This window comes from Homo sapiens, chromosome 9, assembly GCF_000001405.40.
Source record: "Homo sapiens chromosome 9, GRCh38.p14 Primary Assembly".
Lineage (NCBI taxonomy): Eukaryota > Metazoa > Chordata > Mammalia > Primates > Hominidae > Homo > Homo sapiens.
Genome location: NC_000009.12, coordinates 32,385,560 through 32,409,070, shown reverse-complemented (window position 1 = coordinate 32,409,070; position 23,511 = coordinate 32,385,560). Strand labels below are relative to the sequence as shown.

At 41.4% G+C, this 23,511-nt stretch overlaps 1 protein-coding gene across 4 annotated transcripts in view, besides 1 other annotated feature; it reads right to left on the bottom strand.

The window, feature by feature from the left end:
- ACO1 (aconitase 1) overlaps nt 1–23,511 on the bottom strand; it is a 70,127-nt gene that overhangs the window by 45,699 nt on the left and 917 nt on the right. Inside the window, exons 2-5 of one of the 4 annotated variants that reach the window (NM_001278352.2) lie at nt 22,629–22,700; nt 3,468–3,586; nt 1,642–1,810; nt 420–557 (exon numbers count right to left, since the gene is read on the bottom strand). In NM_001278352.2, coding sequence (NP_001265281.1) covers nt 420–557; nt 1,642–1,810; nt 3,468–3,564 — 404 coding nt within the window. In that variant the 5' untranslated portion in view covers nt 3,565–3,586; nt 22,629–22,700. Of the gene's footprint in view, nt 1–419; nt 558–1,641; nt 1,811–3,467; nt 3,587–9,474; nt 9,525–22,628; nt 22,701–23,511 lie in introns of those variants that run through there. The other 3 variants (NM_001362840.2, XM_047423430.1, NM_002197.3) reach the window with 3 other exon arrangements.
- Nucleotides 15,533–16,104: an enhancer, noted in NCBI's record as "OCT4-NANOG hESC enhancer chr9:32392965-32393536 (GRCh37/hg19 assembly coordinates)". NCBI's record gives its function as "activates a minimal SCP1, AML or CMV promoter by ChIP-STARR-seq in primed H9 embryonic stem cells {active_cell/tissue: H9 hESC(primed)}" and the evidence as "EXISTENCE:reporter gene assay evidence [ECO:0000049][PMID:30033119]".

Below are 23,511 nucleotides of genomic sequence, written 5' to 3'. Positions count from 1 at the left end.
ACCCACGTGAAGAGGCAGAGATCGCTAGATATGCAACAGTTACTTGGGATCAAAAAAAGGAGTAAGCTTCCAGTGGATGAAAAAGCTCAAACATATACTTGCACTGACATATACTTGTGTTGACAAGCTCTCATGGCAGAACTTCATGTGTGTGTGTTTTCACCTAGACTTCAAGTCAGATTCAAATGCAGGCTGCTCCCACCCAAGAAGTAAAAACAAATAAAAAAAGATTAAAAGAAAAATCCACCCACTCTTCCCCCTAAAACATCTTTACTGCGAAATGTATATGAAGTTTAAGTTTTTCAGAAGATATCTTTGAAAGATTTTCTTCTTTAACTACATATACACATTTTAAAAAGATTCGTGTTCAAAGATTTTGCACAAAGCAGAACACTCAGGTATTCGTTTTAATCTCTCACCTTCTGTTGAAATCAACCTGGATGGAATGATCTATTACAAGATCAGCAGGGCAGACAGGGTTTATTTTCTCTGGATCTCCTCCTAACTTTTTCACAGCATCACGCATTGCAGCAAAGTCAACCACAGCGGGCACACCCCTAAGAGAAGAAAGAGAATAATGCAGAAAATAAGCCTTAAATGTGTGTAACTGGATTTTTCAGCTTTTGCCTCCATTGATAATATTGACAAGGCCCTACCTCATCAGAGGAGCTAACAATGGGTGAGACTTAGAAAAGTGAAAGTTTCTAAGCGTATTTCCTCAGGCAGAAATCACATAGGTAGTAAGTACCATGACTGGGTGGTATCTCTATGTACAATGTTATCACCGTATTAAATTTAATAACGGCTATGTTCTAAATACAGCAATGATGGGAAAGCTGGCACTTAACAACTCTGGAACTCTTACTGCTGTGAGTGCTTCCCATTCACATGGTGGCTTGACAAAGACCTGGAGAAGACTTTCAGATCACACCTTTTCAGTTTTGACCAGATTTCAAGGAATGGATATAATTCAGAAAAGTTGGCTGTGAATCAAATTCATGTTAAATGAATCTCTCTTTTTCGCTTAAAAGTATAACATTTTGGTGATCTTCCTCTAGAAAAATGAAACTGGGTCTCTAGAAGGAATAAAATAACATCAATTAAAAATGGAAATATAGTATCTCAACAAAGATGCTGCAATGGGGAGCAAGGATATCTAAAAATAGCAAGATGAGAACTGAGGCTTAACAGTTATGGTCAAGACTTGTGATGTGAGCTACATCATCTCCCCTCTGCAGACAGCACATCAGTGTTTCAAGTACAAGTGTTTGACACACCTGGTTTCCTGGGCAATACAATGTGGGAAAGAAAAGATTCCAAGATGGCTCTATTCCATGCTATTTCTTTGACCTTTCCCTAAGATACTCAGGACTAGGATCTTTAAGAGCAAGGATAATGACCCTTCCTATTAGAAAAAGTGGCGTGTTTCAGTTTGCTGGACACAATCCTGGTTTCCTCTTGCTGCTGGGGGCAATGACACCCTTAGCTTTCAAAAGTGTCTGGATATGGGTATATAATATTATATAGTCATAAATTAATAAAGTATATAGTCATTGCAGAGTGTTTTCATTTGTTTAAAAGAAAACTTTCTTGAAAGGCTAATGAGGGAGGCAAAGGAGAGTGAAGTGACATTAGGCTCACGTAAAGTCCTGCAGGATGACACGAGCAGGCTTAAATGGCACTTCTATGTTCTTGTGCTGCGTGACATTCCAATGTAGAATATTTTCAATATCCTGTTTCTTCACCAAAAACTCATCACAATTCCGAATGGCTGCTTCCAGAAGAACTCTGATCGAAAATGGTAAGCGCCCTAAGAGTTAAGGATGACAAAATAAACAAAACCTGTGAGACAACTTAAGAGCGCTCTTTAAGGCCAATCTCTATATAAAGTTGATATGAGGCATCAGACTATTCTTCCACAAGGAAAGAGGGTAAAGTGACCAACAGTTTAAAATACATGGATATTTAATGGGTTTAAGAGATATTCAGGGCTGGGCACAGTGGCTCATGCCTGTAATCCCAGCACTTTGGGAGGCTGAGGCGGGCGGATCATGAGGTCAAGAGATCGAGACCATCCTGACCAACATGGTGAAACTCCATCTCTACTAAAAATAAAAAACTTAGCTGGGCATTGTGGCGTGTGCCTGTAGTCCCAGCTACTGGGGAGGCTGAGGCAAGAGAATTGCTTGAACCTAGGAGGCAGAGGTTGCAGTGAGCCAAGATCCATGCCACTGCACTCCAGCCTGGCGACAGAGCAAGACTCTGTTTCAAAAAAGAAAGAGATATTCAGTGGTAGAAAACACTACACACAAGGCCAAAATAAAATATTATTCTTTGGTATTAAATGGTTGTCTTGTCCTGGATTCCAACAACAGACAGTTTCCCTTAAGTCATCACATCTCACCATCAGTCTAGATTTTTATTGTATTATGTGTTTTGTTTGTTTTCGAGACAGGGTCTCACTCTGTTACCCAGACTGGAGTGTAGTGGTGTGATCACAGTTCATTGCAGCCTTAAACTCCCTGGCTCAAGTGATTCTCCCACCTCAGCCTCCTAAATACCAGGGACTATAGGTAAGCATCACCACACCCAGCTAATTTTTTTCTATTTTTTGTAGAGACAGGGTTTTGCTATGTTGCCCAGGCTAGTCTTAAACTCCTGGACTCAATCAATTGCCTGCTTTGGCCTCCCGAAGTGCAGGGATTACAGGCATGAGCCAACACACGCAGCCTATGTTAAATGTTGACAAGTAACATATTTATACATGTATATATACACACAGAGTAATAGTCCTTATGAAACTAATGCTCAAGAAATGAGAAAATAACCCCTTTACAATTATTGTAATTAAGACCAAAGTATATGCACGTACATCTTTCAAAGGAAACAAAACCCTAAACACTATGCAGCATGGCCAGTGGTAACTGGAGTTCCTAAAATAAAACAATATTAATTCATAAGAAAAATGATTTTGTTTATTTATAAAAATTCCATTTTGATATGTGAAAATTACTAAGCAATACTATCTGGAAATTTATCTGGAAAAGACAGTGCAAAGGCAGAAAAAGGACGGAATTTGGAATAAAAAAGACTGTGTTCTTGTCCTGCTTGTCTACAACCCACATACTTGTGATCTGAGCATGTGTCATTGACTCTTGGGCCTTAGCTTCCTCAGGACCTCTTATATTTTATAAACATGACCCCATAGGGTTGTTATTCAGATTAAATGATACGATACAAATGTATACTCTATAAAGTGTTATATAAATGTCAAATGTATGTAATCATTATCACCTACTTAAAAATGACTAATGTAGGAAAGGCATGTGAGTGCTTGTGCACTTAATCCAAGAACATTCACCCATTCTCTGCTACTCCCTCTTCAAACTCTCCTCAAGTGTAATTAATTACATAGCCTAATCATTGTGCAAATGAGATTCCAATTGCTATCACAGCCATGTACCTACCATATCTTGAATCCTCCAATTTATTCAAATTGAAGAATTTCTTTCCTGGTTGTACAGGATCCAATGGCTCAGCAAGGTGTGCGAATGGGTTGCTCATGATTACTGATGGCCACGTGTTCCTGAAAAGAAAAGAGAACATTTAAATTCTTTTTTTAAGAGGTCTGGGACCTAGAAATCAGGACTGGGAGGAAGGCTTAGTTTTTACTATGTTTCTTTTAGTATTGTTTGCATTTTTAACTATGTACACACTGAACTTTAAAAAAAATAGTTAAAAATTTAAAAGAAATAGACATTTGCACAACTCCTCTGTCCAAAGTCTGGTAGGTACGAGGTAGTTTTGGGGAGAAGCAGTTGATTGAGAAGCAGCCTGTGTCTTCCTGGATTGCTAGTGCAGGAGGCGACAGGACACGCCACAGGTACCGGTAACGGGCGCAAGACACTGAAGAGGAGACAGCCAGGCTGTTTGCCCAGCGCCTCTTTCCTGGGAACTACGTCTCACATGCTGTATGCAGCAGCTGCCATTTGTTGGGAGAGAGGAAAGGTGTCTGACCCAATCTGGCCCAATCAACTTCCTTCTCTGGGAGTTCTGAAACTGAAACTAAAGAATGGGCAGCAAAGGCTACTGGAATACACCGTAACTGTGTTTATAAAGGTATATACCCTAGGCCATCTGCATTAGAATTATCCAGGGTTCTTTCTTGTTAAAAATATAGATTCCTGAGTATCCCCTCCCCACCCATTGAACCTGTTCAAGCTTCTAGGTGATTCTGACACACGTTCAGCTTGAGAATCATTGGTGGGCACTGTGGAGTGCCACCAGGTGAGGCACTTAAAACTTAATTCAGGAAGCAGAGAGGCAGCACAGAAGATATGGAAAAAGGGAGGGCACATTCTAAAATGGGAGTCACAATCAAAATGCCTCCAGGGCTCAGGAAGAGACCTGTGTATGTGAGGCAGGCTGTACAGGGACTAAAGAGCCTGGGTGATCTGTGCCCATCTAAGGGGGCAGAGGCCACCTGGCTCCAGCCGAGAGGGCATGAAGGAATGCTTGCCCAGTGTTGAGAGATCATCTAATTTTCCAAGTGAGACTGGTAATCTAGATTTTTATATGAATTCTTGGCTTATAAAAGTTGGCAACTAATTTTTTCTAAACTGTGTGGATCTGTGGCATGATGGCAAAACCAAACACACCTGTGGGCCCTATTCGACCAGAGGTGGCAGGTAACCAGGCGGGCAAGTGCATGGCAGAAACTGAAATGGAAAAAAGGGGCGGAGGGATTAAAAGCTGAAGAGGCAAAATTTAGAGAAAATGGCTGCTGGGTGAATGGGGGGAAATCTATGGGGAGAAGAAATAAGGTTTAACTCCAGGCATGGAGAATTGAAGGCTATTAGGACTGCTTTTGGAGGGAAGATGGTGGCTTTAGTTTTTGAGGTGAGAGTGCATATAGGATAAAGTGCCACACAAATTCAAGAGATTTGTGACTAATTCTAACTCAATGAGCAGCCAATCAGGAGAGGGGAAAGCCCTATAAATAAGAAACCTGCTAGCTTATCTGCAGAAGGAGAAGTTTACAAATCTGTGGGCTCAGAAAATGAAACTAATAATTCCACTGGCTGAAATTCTGAATATATTTAAAAAGGCAACAGTGCTACTCTCCCTTTCATTTGTCACCCATGCTATACTCCCCAGACTTACCTTTTTCACCCTCAAACAGTAGCAACTGCAACAATAAAACTGCTGTTTTGCCTGCCTGGAAAAACAGAAGACTATCTCAACAGAGGCCAGAGTCTCTGCAGGCAGGGGAAGTGGTGGGAAACGCTCACGGGACTGAGCAAGATGGGTCATTCACCTCTTTCAATGGCCTTAAGTGTCTGAATCATCCTTATCTCTGTGTCGAATCCTAAAGGAGCCAGATGCCCCAAGTCTCCCAAAATTTTTGGATTAAACCAGTTGTTAACTTGTACTTATTATCTGCCATTATGCAGTGGGGACCAAATGTGTCAATTTACTTCCCTGTAGCTACAAATGTCTGGGGCATAACACAAGAAGCCTCACATGATTCCTGCTACTCCCACCACCCTACAAAGTCAGTTGGTATTTTTGGGATGGATATAGTGACCAATATGGTGGCTCTTGGAGAAAATGGCTTGTTTTAAAGTGCACTACCATTTGCCTCCCTTTTTCCTTGGAAGCTAGATAACTGTCTAGTTTCACTATATGAAGGAAGTAAATTCTATCTGCAGAAGGGAAGAGAAGAACCAGTTAGTTATACCAGCACATGCCAAGTGCTTTACACCATCTTCTTTACCTGGCAACATCTCCGTAAATGAAATCTATCATTATTTCCATTGTACAGATAAGCATACCGCAGCTCAGAGGGATGAAAAACCTTGCGTAACGGCATACATCCAGTAAGAGGCAGAGCTAGGTTTCAAACCCTGGCTCTTTCTGCCACCCAACACCACCTCTCTAGGTGCAGCCACCCTGTTCTGACGATGCTGCTGTTGGAGGTCACCCACTAGCCCCTAAAGCTGGGAAAGTCATGGGAAATCCTCTCACAAGAGACTCAACTTTGAATGCTGGAGTTGCCTTTACTTCTTTCCAGGGGGCCCCAAGACCAGGTCTGAGCCAGGCACTGTCACCTGTCTCCTGCCACTTTGTGCTGAGCCACAGGTCAGTAGAAAGTAATAGCAGCTGCATTTCAGCAACCAAAGACTAGCTTTGTTTGGAAAACAGGCCCTCCATATAAGCCTAGAGGACTCCGGAATTTGGAGCCACTTCAAGGTTCCACCCATACTATCATTCTTGTCTCAAATCTCCTGGTTTAGTAACTCCAAGACAAAGCCAAAAACAATCATGTTTCAAAGAGGTGTGAGAAGAAAGATCTTTGGCTGGGTAATGGGTCCAGATATAGAGAAGAATCCAGGCATCATACCTCCTAAGCCTACCTTTCCCTGGCCAGACACTCATCCCATCCCTAATCCTTGAGTATTATCACTGGTCCTTCAGGCTCTAAAAATACCTCCAAGATCTGGGGTTTCATCTAGGAACCCCACCATTGGCCAGGAAGCCCTCCCTATGTCCCACATCCACATAAAGCACAGGTCCCACTGTTTCAATTCCTTTCTTATCTCCCACTCTCTCCTCCTGCTACTTTGTTCTTGGCTCTTTTCTGTTTTATCTGATCTTCATTCAACAATAAAAGATAGGAATGAACAAACGAAGACAATGAATGTGGACATTTTGGAGATGGCAGAGTATCTAAATATATATGGTGTTTTTCTTTTTTGAAAGAGGGAAGAGTTAGCATATATCACACTATTTGGGGTTGCTGCTTTCTTTGTTCTATAGAATGAGATGATACTACATGGTGGCAAGAAGAGAAAAGAGGAGAAGAAAAAAGAAAAAAAAAAGAAGGAAGGAATGGGAAATGGTATCTTTTAAGGTACAAGGTGGGAGCAATTATTCAGAACTTGTCCCTCCGGGACGCTTGTCAGAATGATGAAGACAGCTGAACACTTGTCCCTGGCCACTGAATCAAGGAAGACAGATGAACAGTTCTTAAACAAAAGGAATAAAAACGGAGCTACTGTATCTGAAACCCTTCATTACATGTAGTTCACATTCTGAAAGTCAAGATAATTATTTGGTAGAGAAACAGTGTCTTTCAAAGCTAACCCATCCTGAAATACTAGCTGGGTGACTTGTACAGGGTTATGATTAGCACAGGTACACTCTGCATGCAAGAACGGGGGTGGGCATGGACAGTCTGAACACCAGATTTTTAAAGTAGGTCACTAAAAAATAACAAATATTATGCAAAGGCAGGCAGAACTAGGGTAAGACATTTAACAAATGAGCCATGCTCCCAGTAAAAGGGTGGGAGGAGTGAAGAGCTAGGGTTTTTCCCCAACCACAGTCTTGCTACCAACTGACCTTTGGCTCAATTGAGGACACTTGCAGGTGCCTTGGAGTAGCACCTTTTGTGCATACATAGCATGGCACTAAGGCATGGCACCAACCTGTCACCATTCCCTAGGGACACCTTGACCTTAGGTGCTAAGGAGGTAATGAGACATAGAATGTTGAGTTTTTAGTAAAGAACCTTAGCAATCATGTAGCATTCCCCAGAGGAAGACAGAGAGGCCCTGAAAAGCAACTGACTGCCTAGGGTCACAGGACTCATTAGTGGGATAACCAGAAAAAAAAAAAAATACAGCTGATTTGCCCTCCAGTGAAATGCAAATTTCCCTCAGGGGGAAAAAAAAAACCCTTAAAATCTTTCACAGGTAGAGTTGAAAAAAGTACTACCTAGGTGTATCACAGTCTTTTGGTGCTTCTGTGATGTTAGTTCTATAATCACTTACTAAAACTTCCATGTGTTTCAGAATTCCAGAGAACTGACAGCTAAACTTTGGAAAAACAACTTAAATTTAGGTTTCTGATGATCTGCCCTGGGTGCCACTTTTTTCCAAAAGCCACAGTAAGGGCAAATCAATTTTCCTGATATAATATTGCGTATACAATCCCTTACTCAGATTCAAGATACAAAATGTTAGTAAAGGCTCACATTAAATGATATGAGAATTTTAAAGTTGCAAAATAATATATATATGTATATACTAGGATCTGATTTAAGTGAAAAAAAAAAAAAACTTCAAGACCATTAGTGTATATTCATTCATACACACACACCATTGCATATGCAAATGCACAAAAAAGAAAGACATAAAGTTAACATGGATTACAAATAGAATAACACATTGTATAAAGGGGAGACTTTAGCTTTCTATGTTTCATACTCCTGTATTATTCAAATTCTATTTTTGATAAGCATGCATTCATTTACTACTTACTTCTTAAAACACTGGAGCGGTCATTTAAACTTTGTACATAAATACCTACATTAGCATCTCTATAAAATGAGAACTTGACATCTTCAGCAATACCCTTTGAAAGAAAGATAGAATGGTCCGTAAAGTTCCTGGAACTACAAATGCAGATCTTTCTTTAATAATGACTGGTGAAGATGTATTTAAATTTGTGACTATAACTCCAGATAAAGTCCACTTTGCTCCCCTCAATATGTCCTTTGATATTCACCAACAGAGAGAAAGAGCTGTGAAGAGAATCCCTGAATGGCTCAAATTTAGCCTTAGATGAACAGTGCCACACCTCATTCAAGTCAAACACACTAATCCAAGGGGGGCCCTCCCTTCCCACCCCATCCCCAGCTCCCTTTCCAATCTCAGCAGGATACCAAATTTGTTACTGAACCACATCTTCTTGGGTGGTGGTAACTTTAAAAAATATTACACTAAGGAATAGATACAGCCAGGCGCAGTGGCTTACACCTGTAATCCCAGCACTTTAGGAGGTCGAGATGGGCGGATCACCTCAGGTCAGGAGTTTGAGACCAGCCTGGCCAAGGTGGTGAAACCCTATCTCTACTAAAAGTACAAAAATTAGCCGGGCATGGTGGCACACACCTGGAGTCCCAGCTACTCAGGAGGCTGAGGAAGGAGAATTATTTGAACCCAGCAGGCGGAGGGTGCAGTGAACCAAGATCGTGCCATTGCACTCCAGCCTGGGTGACACAGCGAGACTCCATCGCAAAAAAAAAAAAAAAAAAAAAACAGAAAAAGAAAAAAATAAAAGAAATAGATGCTCACTGTAGCAACAACAGAAAATGCAGGTGAGCAAAAAGAACAAAATAAAATCCTTTGTAATACCATGATTTACAGTTTCATTTACCATGACTTTTAAACGCATTTGAATTTTTCAAAAAAAAAAAATCACTAGACCTCACATTGTTTTGCTAATTGCTTTTTTTCACTCAACAATAAACCTCAAATATCTTAATAGGACAATCGTGTGATATTTTACAGCACTTTAAACTATACCATAAAAATCTATCCTTCAGATATATAACAATTTCCCTATTATTAAAATACTTAGGTTGTTTCCAAGTACTAGCATTCAAACAATGATGCCTTGTATACTCACATCGTTAGTAGGTCCTTAAATCATTTCTTTCAAATAAATTTCTAGCTTTCAGTTCCTAGAAAAGAGCCGAGTGAAAGGATTTGCATATCACCAGGATGCCTGGAAAAGGCTGTACCAATTTTACGACCCTTCTCTGAGGCAGTGAGTGGAGGTACTCAAACCAGGCAATAGAATTCATATTTACCTTTTGCCAAGTTGAGACATTAAAAAGCCAATCTTGGTACTTCTTTAATAGCTAGTTAAATTGAGTAACTTTCCATCTGTCTGTTAGGCATCTAAACTTCTTCTTTTGTAAACTGCCTGTCTGCCAGACAGGTCAAACTGAGTAACACTAAGATGACCTCTGCTGATCAAATGTTTTCATCTCCAAGGGGACTTAACTGAGCTATTAATGTGGATGCCTCAGCTCTGTAACTCTGGAGAGACTGAAACTGCCTTTGGCCTCTACTTGGTCTTGAGATATGGTCTACAACATTTCCCTTTACGTGAATGACAGACAGCCCTAAAATCTGTCGACAATTTGACCCCATGCTTGGGTGCACTGTGAGCCTAGTGAATTATAGCAAGGAAAGGGGATGATTATCTTAAATCATGGACAAAATCCTATTTGGGCCAGTACACTTTGCTTATGAGTAGCTCTACATTAAAATTTAAATATTAGGTTGGCAGCTATTTTCTTTCAGCATTTAGAAATATCAACCTGGGTTGATGCAGTGGCTCATGCCTGTAATCCCAGCAATTTGGGAGGCCAACGTGGGTGGACTGCTTGAGCCCAGGAGTTTGAGACCAGCCTGGGCAACATAGCGAGACCATGTCTCTACAAAAAAGTGAAAAAATTAGCCAGTCATGGTGTCCCACACCTGTAGTCCCAGCTACTCGAGAGGCTGAGGTGGGAGGATCGCTGGAGCCTGGAAGATTGAGGCTACAGTGAGCTGTGATTGTGCCACTGCATTCCAGTCTGGGTAACAGAGCAAGACTCTGTCTCAAAAAACAAAACAAAACAAACAAACAAAAAAAAACAAAGAAAGAAAGAAAAAGAAAAAAGAAAAAAAAAAAGAAATTCCGAACCCTGGGTGCAATCCTTGTAAACAGGTTTTGTGAGGGAGACTGCACATAGCATATGGATGGATGCTAAACCATCACTCTTGCTAGAAAACCACGTCAGCCCATACACCCACCCAGCTGACAGGGAGTGATTCAACAGTAGCATTCAAGAGGAGTGCCATGTGATGATGTTTATCTCTCATAGCTAGATTTGTAGAGATGTTTGGAACAGTCGACTTACTTTAAGCTAAATGCCAAGGATCAGAAAAAATAAGATTCACCTTTTAGGGTCTCCATCTCATCTTTGGAATATATACATCTATGAATTTGCTACTTGTGTTATCAAAGTTTAATTTTCCTATGATAGTGAAATATTATAATTAATTACCTTATGATACAGACAGAGGCATAGTATTAATGGACCCTACAAGCAATCACAGGATTTCCACACAGCAGGAGGAGGAGCACAGGAGAGGAATAAACCCAGGCAGCAGAACTATCAGTAGTGGGCTGGACAGGATGAGAATTTGTTTTTTGTTTGTTTGTTTTGGGGGTACATATCAGTTTCCAGGGGAGCTTGTAGAGCTTGAAAGAGCCTTCAGATGATCAACTGAGAATCATCTCTCTATGGTCTAAAGTACTGGCAGCACATCCCCCAATCCTTTTTTTGGGCTATCTAAAGACACCTAAGAGTGGATTTAAAAAGTCTATGCAAACAAGAGAAAAAGATTTCTCCTGTATTTTATGTGGTTTGCCCTTCTGTTTTCCTCTCTTCCTACACCTTCTGAAATATACTTGTCTTGAACTGCCATGGCTTCCAACTCTAAAGTCAAAGTACTATCACTGCATCTCTGAGGTTCACTGCAGCTCATTAAAAAGGTTAGCTATATTTCATTTCTGTTTAAAGAGAAATTAATTGGCCCTACTCCCAAACTAACTTTTGTGTATCTAAACATCATGCTACTTATAAACAATATTTTTGTCAAAAGTAAAATTCCAAGGATGTCTATGTGAACATAAACAACATTGAGGTCAGAATCATCATGGCCAGCAATATCACCAAGGCTTGTCAACTGGGTTCTTTCATAAGAGAGCTAGAAACATTAATTCTTTGTTTTATTTGATGGGGATGCATCTGGGAAACTGCATTAAATATCTCTGAATTTTCCAAGAAACCAGGTCATCTCTTCAATTCTTTTAGCTGTTCATAAAACAAAAACCTATTAAATATGATACTTGTAACTAGAAGAACTTTGAAGGAGAAGTCACATGAGCAATTATCTATTTTTTGGAGAGAAACTGGGGGGAAAAGAGTGGTGCAGAAAGAATGGATTTAACAATATAACCACATTACGTCAACATGTTTTTCTTGAGCACTAAGTATGTGCAAGGTGCACCATATGCTACAGAAAGGAACAAAACTCTGCCTCTATATCAGAAAGCTTTCCCATCTCACAGCAGCTTGTCTCTTCTTGCTCAAATTTTAAGTTAGTGGTCTATTTTCACTCAGTCTTTTCTCATCCTGGATAACTGACCAGAATGTGCTATATATATGTCAAGATTTTAAAAAAAAAAGCTTAAATGATGGTTTTATTTTGAATTAGCCATATAACTTTTCTGTGCCTCAGTTTCCCAATCTATAAATAAGGTTGGTTAACGATCTAAAAAGTCCTTTCTAAGTGGAAAAAATTCAATGATTCATTCATTCACATTTATGTTAACTGTCTATTACATGCCAGGAACTGTTTTAGGTCCTGGTGATACATCAGGGAACAACAGAGACAGAGTCCCTGCCCTCATAGTACTTCCATTTTAATGGAAGGAGACAGACTAAACAAATAAATAAATATACAAACAGAGTATCAGATGGTGACCCATTCTATTGATAAAGCAGGGCAAAAGCAGTAGAAAGTACAGGGGCTGTGGGGAGTGTCAGTGATCAAAGAAGGCCTCACTGATGTTCAGCCACTGTGCAATCCAGGGAGGGGTAACCTCACGTGCAAAGGCCCTGAGGTGGTGGCATGCCTGGTGGGTCTAAGGAAGGCCAAGGAGACCAAGGTGTGTGAAGGCAAAAAAAGGGGAAGACAGAAAAGGCAAGAGGTAGTAGCGGCCAGACCACATGAGGCTCTTTAGCCAATTTTGATGTTGTAAATCTACACTTTAAGCCAGGTGTACAGCTAGGTGTTTGTAGTTTATCAAAGTCCCTACTGTGAGGACTTTGATAAAGACAGTGATAAAGTGGCCACAGTAGGGACTTTGATAAAGACAAACTACAAAGCCTTAACTGTCATCTGGTTTAGACTGTAGACTTCCAACATCAAAAATTGGTTACAGTTTGATAAGAAATTAACTCATATATGAAAATATTAGATTGTACTTGAAAAGTACTTACTTCCTGAAGTCTAACCCTATTTCCCTGAATTTCATTATTAAGTAACACTGGAAATTCTCAGGATGTATCACAAAAATGATCATGACTCACTCGGCAGATGTGTACAGCCACTGCCAAAAACAACAGGACTTGGGGAACCAGGGCCACGCTATAGCAATGCCTGACCAGGCAGCCCCTGCCTCTTGAGGGCTCCCCTAGTTCTGGGCTCACTGGCCAAGAGGGGGCAGAACATCACATGCAAGTCTCAAAGAGAAAGACTTAACACATCCTCTAAGCTCGTTTTAAATTAGTTGCAGCAGCACAAACTCACAGAAATATTCACTTTTACTTTTTAGTGTCACTGTGGGCCAATATAACCAGAGTTTCGTAAAAAGTCTTGGTGAACTTCGACATTTATAAATTCCAGAGACAGGCTGAGAAAGAAAGTCACCAAGGGTCATGAAACATTTGGCAAGAAAGTAAAGGAAGAAGTGGGGGCATTGTCCTGAGAACCCGGCATCTGACCCGGCCCTGAGCCTGACCTCATCCTCTCCTCCTTGAGGTCTTCCTCAGCCCCTTCTCAGAATGTGGGCCCCCTACCCTGCAGCTCCCTATGGTCACCAGTGTGGTGTAGTACATGACACCTGCAGATACCTCAACTAAGCCCTACTGCATCTAAGTTTTTTGGTTTTTTGGTTTGTTTTTTGAGACAGGGTCTCACTCTGTCACCCAGGCTGGAATGCAGTGGCGTAATCTCGGCTCACTGCAACCTCTGCCCCCCAGGTTCAAGTGATTCTCTGGCCTCAGCCTCTGGAGTCGCTGGGATTACAGGTGCCCACCACCACGCCTGGCTAATTTTTGTATTTTTAGTAGAGACGGGGTTTCCCCATGTTGGCCAGGCTGGTCTCAAACTTCTGACCTCAAGTGATCCGCCCATCTCGGCCTCCCAAATTGCTGGGGTTATAGGTGTGAGCCACCACACCCAGCCTGCATTTATGTTTTAAGAGGAGGAGAAGTAGTGGGTGAAGACAGCTGTACTTTCAAAAAAAAGTATTACAAAGCAGGTCCAGTTGAGATCCAATCTTTAAGAAAGCAGCATGATTTCCTCAGGCTCCTGAACTCATTTCGCAGATTGTGGCAATGAACTTTTCTAACTCAAACTTTAGGAATTAGGAATTAGAAAGAAAGGCCATCACCACAAGAGATTGGGTGTCTGGCTGTCAGAGGTCTTCTGGGCCATCTTTACCTCTGTGAATTCGCCAAGTGTCTGAGGCCAACTATACCCAGCCACCTCACCAACCTGGTCTCATCAGGGCTGACTGAACTCGGGGATTATGACTCATGCTAATAAAATTCTCAGAGCTCAATATGCAAACCCATATATTTACTGATTTTACCTAAGAAAGGCAACTGTCAGGAGGACCTGATGCTCCTATTTCTGATCAGCACATTCCTTCCCCGCAGCAGGATAGAAGGATGTTAGAAGCTACAAATCTGAAGCCAGATGCAGGCGTGCTGAGAGAGGGAACTGGAACGCAAACCCAAGTCCATCAGACTCCAGAGCCCAGCTCTGAAGCAGCTGGTTCCATCCCAGTGACTCCCACAATGGCACAGCTGCTCTATTTCACTGGGTTGAAGGAGTGACAAATACTAAAGCAGCATTAGACCTTGATACTTCTGGGACCTGGGCCTTTCTATGTTGTCTATGGGAAGGGACTGGTGTGGATTCATTCATACACACGACATTTACAGACCTGGGATGAAGGGATAAAGTCCCCATCCTCCTTCAGATGCTCAGACTGAGAATGGAGACTGTGTAGGAGAAATCAGAACATCATGCAGCCCATGCTACAGGTGTGGTGGATGAAGGCTGATAAAGAACCACCAGGGAAAAGCACCTAATCCAGCATCAGAGCATCAGAGGGGGAGAGAAAGGACTCTAGGGACAGGTGACACCATGCACAAGCCTTCCAGAATTACACAGAGGTACAGAGTCACTGAAAGAATAAGCTGGCAGATGAAACAATACATTAAAGGCACAAAAGTGTGACATTGTGGGAATCATAAAGTGTTGCACGTGGATAAAGTACAGGGTACATGTTGGGGAGAGCTAAGAAACAAGGGATGGAGCAAGGTCCAGGTTGCTGCAAAGTTTGAATTTTTACCAAAGGTAAGGAGGCACCATTAAAGGATTCTGAGCTGCAATCTTTAAGATGAGATTTGATTTTCAGAGATCATTCCGGTAGGGGTATAGACTAACTCAGGGAAAGGCTGCCAGACTGGTGTCTGGGAGGCAGGTTACGGTGTTATTACAGTCAATAAGACAAGGCAATGAGGAGGTACAGGAGGGAACAAATCCAGGCAGAGTTATGTATTGGGTGAAATTCACCCCTGATATTTCACGTAGGTTCTTTTCTATTTTCCCTAAGTGTCGGCCGGTCTGAGAAATAAAGGGAAAGAGTACAAAAGAGAAATTTTAAAGCTGGAGACATCACATGTCGGCAGGTTCTGTGATGCCCCCTGAGCAGTAAAACCAGCAAGTTTTTATCAGTGATTTTCAAAAGGGGAGGGAGTGTATGAATAGGGTGTGGGTCACAGACATCACATGCTTCACAAGGTAGTAAGATATCACAAGGTAAATGGAGGCAGGGCAAGATCACAGGACCATAAGACTGAGGCAAAATTAAAATTGCTAATGAAGTTTCGGGCATGCATTGTCACTGATAACATCTTATCAGGAGACAGGGTTTGAAAGCAGACAACCGGTCTGACCAAAATTTATTAGGAGGGAATTTCCTCGTCCTAATAAGCCTGGGAGCGCTACAGGAGACTGGGGCTTATTTCTTCCCTACAGCAGTGACCGTAAAAGACAGCCACCCCCAAAGCAGCCATTTTAGAGGCCTACCCTCAGGGACGCATTCTCTTTCTCAGGGATGTTCCTTGCTGAGAAAAACAATTCAGCGATATTTCTCCCATTTGCTTTAGAAAGAAGAGACATATGGCTCTGTTTCCCCCCCGGCTCACCGGCAGTCAGAGTTTAAGGTTATCTCTCTTGTTCCTTGAACATTGCTGTTATCCTGTTCTTTTTTCAAGCAGCCCAGATTTCATATTGTTCAAACACACATGCTCTACAAACAATTTGTGCAGTTAACACAATCATCACAGGGTCCTGAGGTGACATACATCCTCCTCAGCTTATGAAGATGATGGGATTAAGAGATTAAAGTAAAGACAGGCATAGGAAATCACAAGGGTATTCATTGGGGAAGTGATAAGTGTCCCTGAAATCTTCACAATTTATGTTCAGAGATTGCAGTAGAGACAGGCATAAGAAATTATAAAAGTATTAATTTGGGGAACTAATAAATGTCCATGAAATCTTCACAATTTATGTTCTTCTGCCATGGCTTCAGCCGGTCCCTCCGTTCGGGGTCCCTGACCTCCCGCAACAGTTATGAAAGCAGGATGGGCTGGGGTAGGTAAGGAAAAAAGATAGGTCTCGAATAGCTTCTGTGTTTCTCATTTGGGCAAACTGGCAGAGCCAATGAACAAGATGGGAACTGAGATGTTGGTTTTAGACACGGTGGATCTGGGATAAGATCTCCTGCGGGCAGGGGCATATATGGGCCTGGAGCTTAGCAGGTTGGACTGGGACAGAAGCTGGGAAGAACAGCAGCAATGTTCAGGCATTATCCCATGAGTGCCAGGTCACCCAGAAGCTCAGCAGCCTGGAGACATGTGCTGAGTGCCTGTGGGGTGCCAGGCATCTAATCCAATTCCTCTAATGCAGACCCTTGGCAACTTTGTGACAAGGGCATCACCATCCCATTTCACATGAGAGAAGACAGGATCTGACGGGCTAAGTATCTTGCCATGGTCTCATGGCTGGTAAGTGACCAAACTGGAAGTCAAACTCAGGCTCCTGATGTCAGAACCAACTCTCTTGCACCATGCTCCTCCCAACAGGCTGCACAAGTGATATCATTTTACAGTCATTTAACATATTAAGATCCAAAAAACCAAATGCATTTAAAAAAAATAAATCTCATTTTAAAACAATCTCCAAGCTCTAAAGCACATATATGGGGACGAGATGGTAAACCTCATGTTCCCTAAAACATCCTTGATTTTGGCAAAATTTGTATGGTAACTTTTAAAGAATGGGTTGATGTAAATAATATAGGCATTATTAGCACTTAGACTGATTTCTTATCTAAGAAAATAAGGGTTTATGAAACATAACATCCTTAAAACCAATCCTGAGGCTACTTTTGATTCTGCCGTTAATACAAAATTGTACCTTTCAAATGTCCACCCATCATAGCTCTTGTACATCGCAGATTCTTGGCAATGGCTTATTTATCTTATCTGTTCTGAACCAAAAATTCAAACCTGGTAATCATGTAGGAGGATACTTTCCTAGACTGACACCTCTTCTTCATGAACTATGCCACAACTTGCAACTTGCCATGTAATTCCACAATAGCAGTTATAGAAAGGATGACAAGGATGTTGAATAATTAAGTGTTCCATACATGTCTGTTTTGCGAGCAGTGGCCCAGACAAGTTACACTATCCAAAGATGGGCTTGCCCAGGGTTCTCCTTAGATCAAGACAAGAGGATGAGAGAGAACCACACCAGCACTCATGTACAAACAGCCTTACTAATTCATCTAAGGTGGATTAATTTTTGACACCAAAGATAACAGCAGAACATGAGGAATCTGAGGAACAACTGGCTCAGAGAGTGTGATATTGTTTCAATAGGTCTATGGCATTAAGGGGCACAAGAACCTGTTCCGTCTCCCAAAGACATGCTTAGATGCTTTTGCGTCTTCACATATTTGCAACATCTAATCCCAAAGACTCTTGGTTTCCAATTGATTCTTAAAGTCAGTCTCTGCCACTTGCTGCTGAGGACAAGATTTCTTCTATATTCTTAAACCTTAGTTTACTTCTTTGCAGATTTTAGGTAACAATGTCTGTCTGCACTGCTCTGCCCAGATGACAAGGGCTGCTAGGATAATTAAATGAGGTAACACACGAAAGCACTGCATATTCTGGGAACTATATCCCCGTGAGCTACCATAATTCATGAGATTGCTATTGACTTACCTATGGTAAGCTCTAAATGTAGCCTGTTTCTTTTACTGAAGATTTAAATATACATTCTAAAACAAGTATTTAAAATATAGTCAAGAATCACTCTTATCCAATACAAGTGACCCAATATTATTCAGTTGTATTTTTTCAGGTCTTTCGCCTGGTGGGGGGAGGTGAGGGGATGCATTGTATGATTAGAGAAGACCCACAGGCTCCAGATATATTTGTGAAAAAATGACAAAAGATCATTAAAAACATTTTCTTTTTAGAAAGCTACGTTTTTATATTGGCTCGAATTTAAGACTCTTTTCATGGCTCAAATTTAAGACTCTTTTCACCATGATTCTTTAAAATCTTTTAAAATCCAAACAGATGAAAGAAAATGTTCTTGGTCCTAGGTCATATTTGAAAATTTTTCTTTTAATGTGATGGATTTCTTTTATACTCAAAATTTTTCTCCAGTGAACTTAATCAATTCAAATTATTTTAGCATGTATTTCTTGAGTATCTTCTTTGTATTACGCATTGCTAAATACCATAGAGGAAAAGAAGATAGGCACACATTCCTTCTCTTATTTGAAGACTGCAATCTGACAAGGAGACTAAGATAAGCACACAAATACAATAGGATGAGGGTTATAAGAAAAGTCAAAGGAAAGAGACAGCTACAAGTGGGATTCAAGAAAGGCTTTACAGAGAACTACGAAGTGGAAGATGAATTCAGATGCACAGGCAGAGTAAAGAGCAAATACCAAAGTAGAGAAACAGGATAGCGCAGCAAGTGTTCAGGGGCTCCTCAGCAGTTCAGTATGGCTGACATTAGGGCAGAACAGTTTTAAGATTTTTGCTACAGCAGTCAATACATGCTTATTCCTAAAAGACCTAATAAGTGATTCTCGTTAATTTATACAGCTGCAAATGAAGATGCCAACTCTTGCCAGAAAGAAAAAGAGGTGATGTTGAAGAAAAGTATAAGGGAAGAGCCAGGCGCAGTGGCTCATGCCTGTAATCCCAGCACTTCAGGAGGCTGAGGCAGGCGGATCACCTGAAGTAAGGAATTCGAGACCAACCTGGCCAACATGGTGAAACCCCATCTCTACTGAAAATACAAAAATCGGCTGGGCGTGGTGGCGCACGCCTGTAATTCCAGCTATTCTGAGGCTGAGACAGAAGAATTGCTTGAACCCGGGAGGTGGAGGTTGGAGTGAGCTGAGGTTGCACCACTGCACTCTAGCCTGTGTGACAGAGTGAGACGCTGTCTCAAAAAAAAAAAAAAAAGTATAGAGGAAACAAAATTGGCCAATTATCACTGTTCACAGTCGTTGAGGCTGAGGGTTTATACTCTCCTCCCCACTTTGTATGTCTGAGATTTTCCATTAAAAATAGAGAAAAGGAAAAAAAAAAAAAAAGAAATGAAGGCCAGTCGATCTAGGGAGACGGTCAGCTGATGGTGCCAGTCAACTGAAGTGAGAGGGCGAGGCCAAGGTCAGACAGACTCTACAGGGGAAGCAGACACAGCACAATGTGACTACATGGTAAGTGTGCCTGTTTTTCGGTTCGCCATGCCTCACACTCCTCACATTTCTCACTGGGAGACAGTAGCTGGAGTCTGCCACCAGGTAAGCTGGTGGTAAGACAGCCTAAGAAAGATGGAAGAACTGTCCTCAACATACCAGGTGTAAACATACTGTAGGGGTTGATTTTGGTAATGTCAAATGTAATATTTATTCATGCTTGAAAACCCCGATAAGCTAAAATGAAGAAAATCTAAAAAGCAAGTGTGCTGTATCACCTAGAGAAAAGCACTCAATGTTTTGGCATATCCGCTGCCTTTGTACATGCAGGGGCACACTCGTACATATATGCACATGCTTTCTCTCCTCAGAAATACAGAATCACAGGGAAATACTGCTGTGTAACATGCTTTTTTTAGTTTAAAAACTATACAACACTATTTTGTAACACCAGTGTAAAGGCTGCACAATAGCTTGCTAAGGAACACTTTGAACTAGTATTACTAACCCTGGACAAGAGTCAAACATTAATACTGTTAAATAAAATGTTTTGACTTGAGAGTCTCTCTCTTATTTTTATACTAATATTATATATACAAGTTCAGAGCTGTGATATGACAAAGCAGTTTTTTTTAATTGGGGGAGGAGGATGGTGGCAACATTCCTATCAGAGAAATAACTCTATTTTCCTTCCGAAAGTATACGTTGTTGGGATTTTAGGTTTACTATGTTGTAAAAGCAATATATGAATGCTACAGGCTATCCTCCCTTATAAGATAGGCACACATCTGTTATTATGAAAAGTAACAAAAGTTCTCTGGCTTCCTTCTACCTCATTCCACTGCCCAGAACTGGCTACTGGTCTATCTTCTAAACATTCATGATGCTACTTTAAATACATGGAATGGAATATGTAATGACACATGCACACAACTTATGTACACATAGATGTACAAATATGCATACACACAGGTATACACACACAGTGTACTCTACAATGTATCATATACATATATAACGAGGATTTTTTTTTTTTGAGACAGGGTCTTACTCTATTGCCCAGGCTGGAGTGCCGTGATGCAATCATGGCTCACTGCAGCCTGGACTTCCCAGGTGATCTTCCTGCCTCTGCCTCCCAAGTAGCTGGGACTACAGATATGTGCCATCACACCTGGCTTTAATTTTTTTCTGTATTTTTGGTAGAGATGGGGTTTTGTCATGTTGCCCAGGTTGGTCTTGAACTCCTGGGCTCAAGCGATCTGGACTCTCAAAGTGCTGGGATTACAGGCGTAAGCCACGGTGCCTGGGCCTTTCCATCCTTTTTAACATTTCCTTTGTCTCTGCCCCTGGAATCAAGACAGCTCTTAGAGACACTACTAGTTTTTGCATAATAATATGCAAAATTCACACAACGGGTTAGACTGCAGGTACATCCATTCTAGCATAACATCTGAGATGGCTCCAGGGAGGGAGTTGGGAATAAGACCCATATGTGGCTCTGTCCTCAAAACTTCAACACACTTGGCCTTCCTTTAAACAACCTACTATGGAGTCTTCCATGATTGATTCCAAATCCTCTACAGTTACTACTGCCCGCTACGTCCATCTTGGAGACTCAAGTTTCTGGTATTCACGCATAAAGTCCTGAAGAATCTCCTTTTCCATAAAACTCTCTCTTTGAAACATGGTTCTTGTTCTGATAGTCTAGGTCAGGAGTCTGCAAACTATGGCTGGCCCTTGTTTTTGTAAATCAAGTTTGACTGGAACACAGCCATGCTTGTTTGTTTGCATGTTGTCTATTGCCGCTTTCGTGCTTCAACACCAGAGCTGAGTAGCTGCAATAGAAACTGTATAACCATAACCCAAAAAGCCTAAAATATTTCACTACCTGTCCCTTTACACAAAAAGTTTGCTGATCTATATTTTAGAATATGATGAAAACAGATTTTTTTCCTTATCAAAAATTTTAGAGGACTTGAATCATACACCCTATATCTAGGATCTTTGTCTAGGCTAAAGAGTCTGTTTTCTACTAAAAAAACAAACCAAAAGCACCTTGGCTCAGACAATAGCAGTGTCAGCTGGCAAAGGTTTAACAACTTGAACTCCAAGAGGAAAAAAAAGCTCTGATGTAGCATTTGCCAATTTCCATGGTGTTATTATTCCCACCATGGCTTATTTCAATCTAAAAAATGTGTTGCCACTGAACACGGAGTTAGGAAGAGATATGCACAAATGCTAGTATAAACCAGCTCTGAAACCACTGGCTCCTTGGGACACTTACTATCAATGGCCTAACTCCTCATTTTAAAGTCAAAGACACTGAGACCCAGAGAAAGTGTCTTAACCCGAGGCTGGCCCAGTGACTGGCACCAGGTTGGAGGTAATTTCCCTGTGAATCTGGCTGCCTCACAGGAAATTACTTCCTATGTAGAAGGAAGAGTGGGGGAAAGAAGGCAAAGGAAGTTCTTTGCCAGGCACGTGGTGATACACGTTGGTTTTTATCATCATCTTCACAGTGTGGGACTGGTTTCTTCAGCACATGCCTTTGAAGCACACTTTAGGTAGGGGGTACTGCTCTTCACACAGGACCAGCTTTCATGTACACACTCTGACTATATAATAGACTATCTCAATTAACCAGCAGTTATCAAAGCTATCAGACCATAATTGCCAGAAAGACAGGGACTGCATCTTTTGTGCTCACTACTTTCCTGGCATCCCGCACATAACTGGACACATGAGAAATAGGTGGCCAATAAAAATCTACTGAAAGAATGAAGGAATGAGACCCCACCATCAAAGTGGAATTTTTTAATACAAAGAACACAGCAGGTGCTCAGAGTTTAGATCCCATTTCCTTCTCCTGTGGACTTCTCCTCCTCCTCACCTGTGGACTGTGCAACACACACAACACGCTCATGTGCATGCAACATTTCTCAAGTATCGGCTGTAGCATTTAAACTGATCCATCAGAGCACAAGAGGCTCTATGGATGAAGGAACAAAAGGGAGGATGGAGTTAGAAAATTTCTTCCTCCCAAATATATACACATAACATCTGTCTTGAACTTGTTCTGACAAGGCACGAAGCTAAGGAAAGAGTCCCGTGAAGGACCTCACCTACCACACTCCAGGATGGTGGAAACTGCTTTTTGACAGGGGCTGAGGAAGCACCACTCAGAGTGACACCCTCTGAAAGTGGAAAGTGAAAGAACGTCAAGACTGGAAATCATTATTCCAATAAACTCAAGGCTAATAACCATGCAACTGCAAACAGAAATGAACACGTGCAAGGGAAGGCAAAAGCATGCCTCCTTGTTCTTTTGGAAATAACTTCCTGACTACTTGGTAACTCTCACAGGAACCCCTACACACTTGGCATGGTCTCCCCACTGGCACTTTTGTGAGCCTACAGGTCCTGTTTGCCACATCACTGTTGTAATCCTGATGCACAGACAGGTCAGCTCTGCAAGCACAGAGACAACCAAAGGCATGTGCGAAGCCTTGCTGACTTTTCAGGAGGCTGGCAAGGTTCATCACAGCCTCACGTGGGGACCTAGTACATGGTTTCCAAAGTGAGATCAAACTTGGTTCCAGATACCAGAGGTTAATACTGTCCATGGCATGAGGTGGTGTGTGTTCCCAATCAGAGGAAGGATCACAAACAAGAAGCAGGCCCAATGAATGAAGCCTCTGAAGCATTTCCTACACCAGCATCCTCAAAGTGTGGTGCAGAGAACTCCTAGGGATCTCCAAAGTCAAAACCATTTTCCTAGTAATAAAATGTTACTTGCTTTTTTTCATTCACACATTTTCAGGAGTATACAGTGGAGGTCTCAAGAGGCTACATGATATGTGATATTGCAACAGACTGCAGAAGCAGCTATCAGAATCCAGCTGTCTTCAATTACGCTTGACATCAAAGAGATTTGCAAAAATGTAAAACAATGCCACTCTTCTCAATCATTTTCTGTTTTGGGAAATATAGTTCTTTTTCATAAAA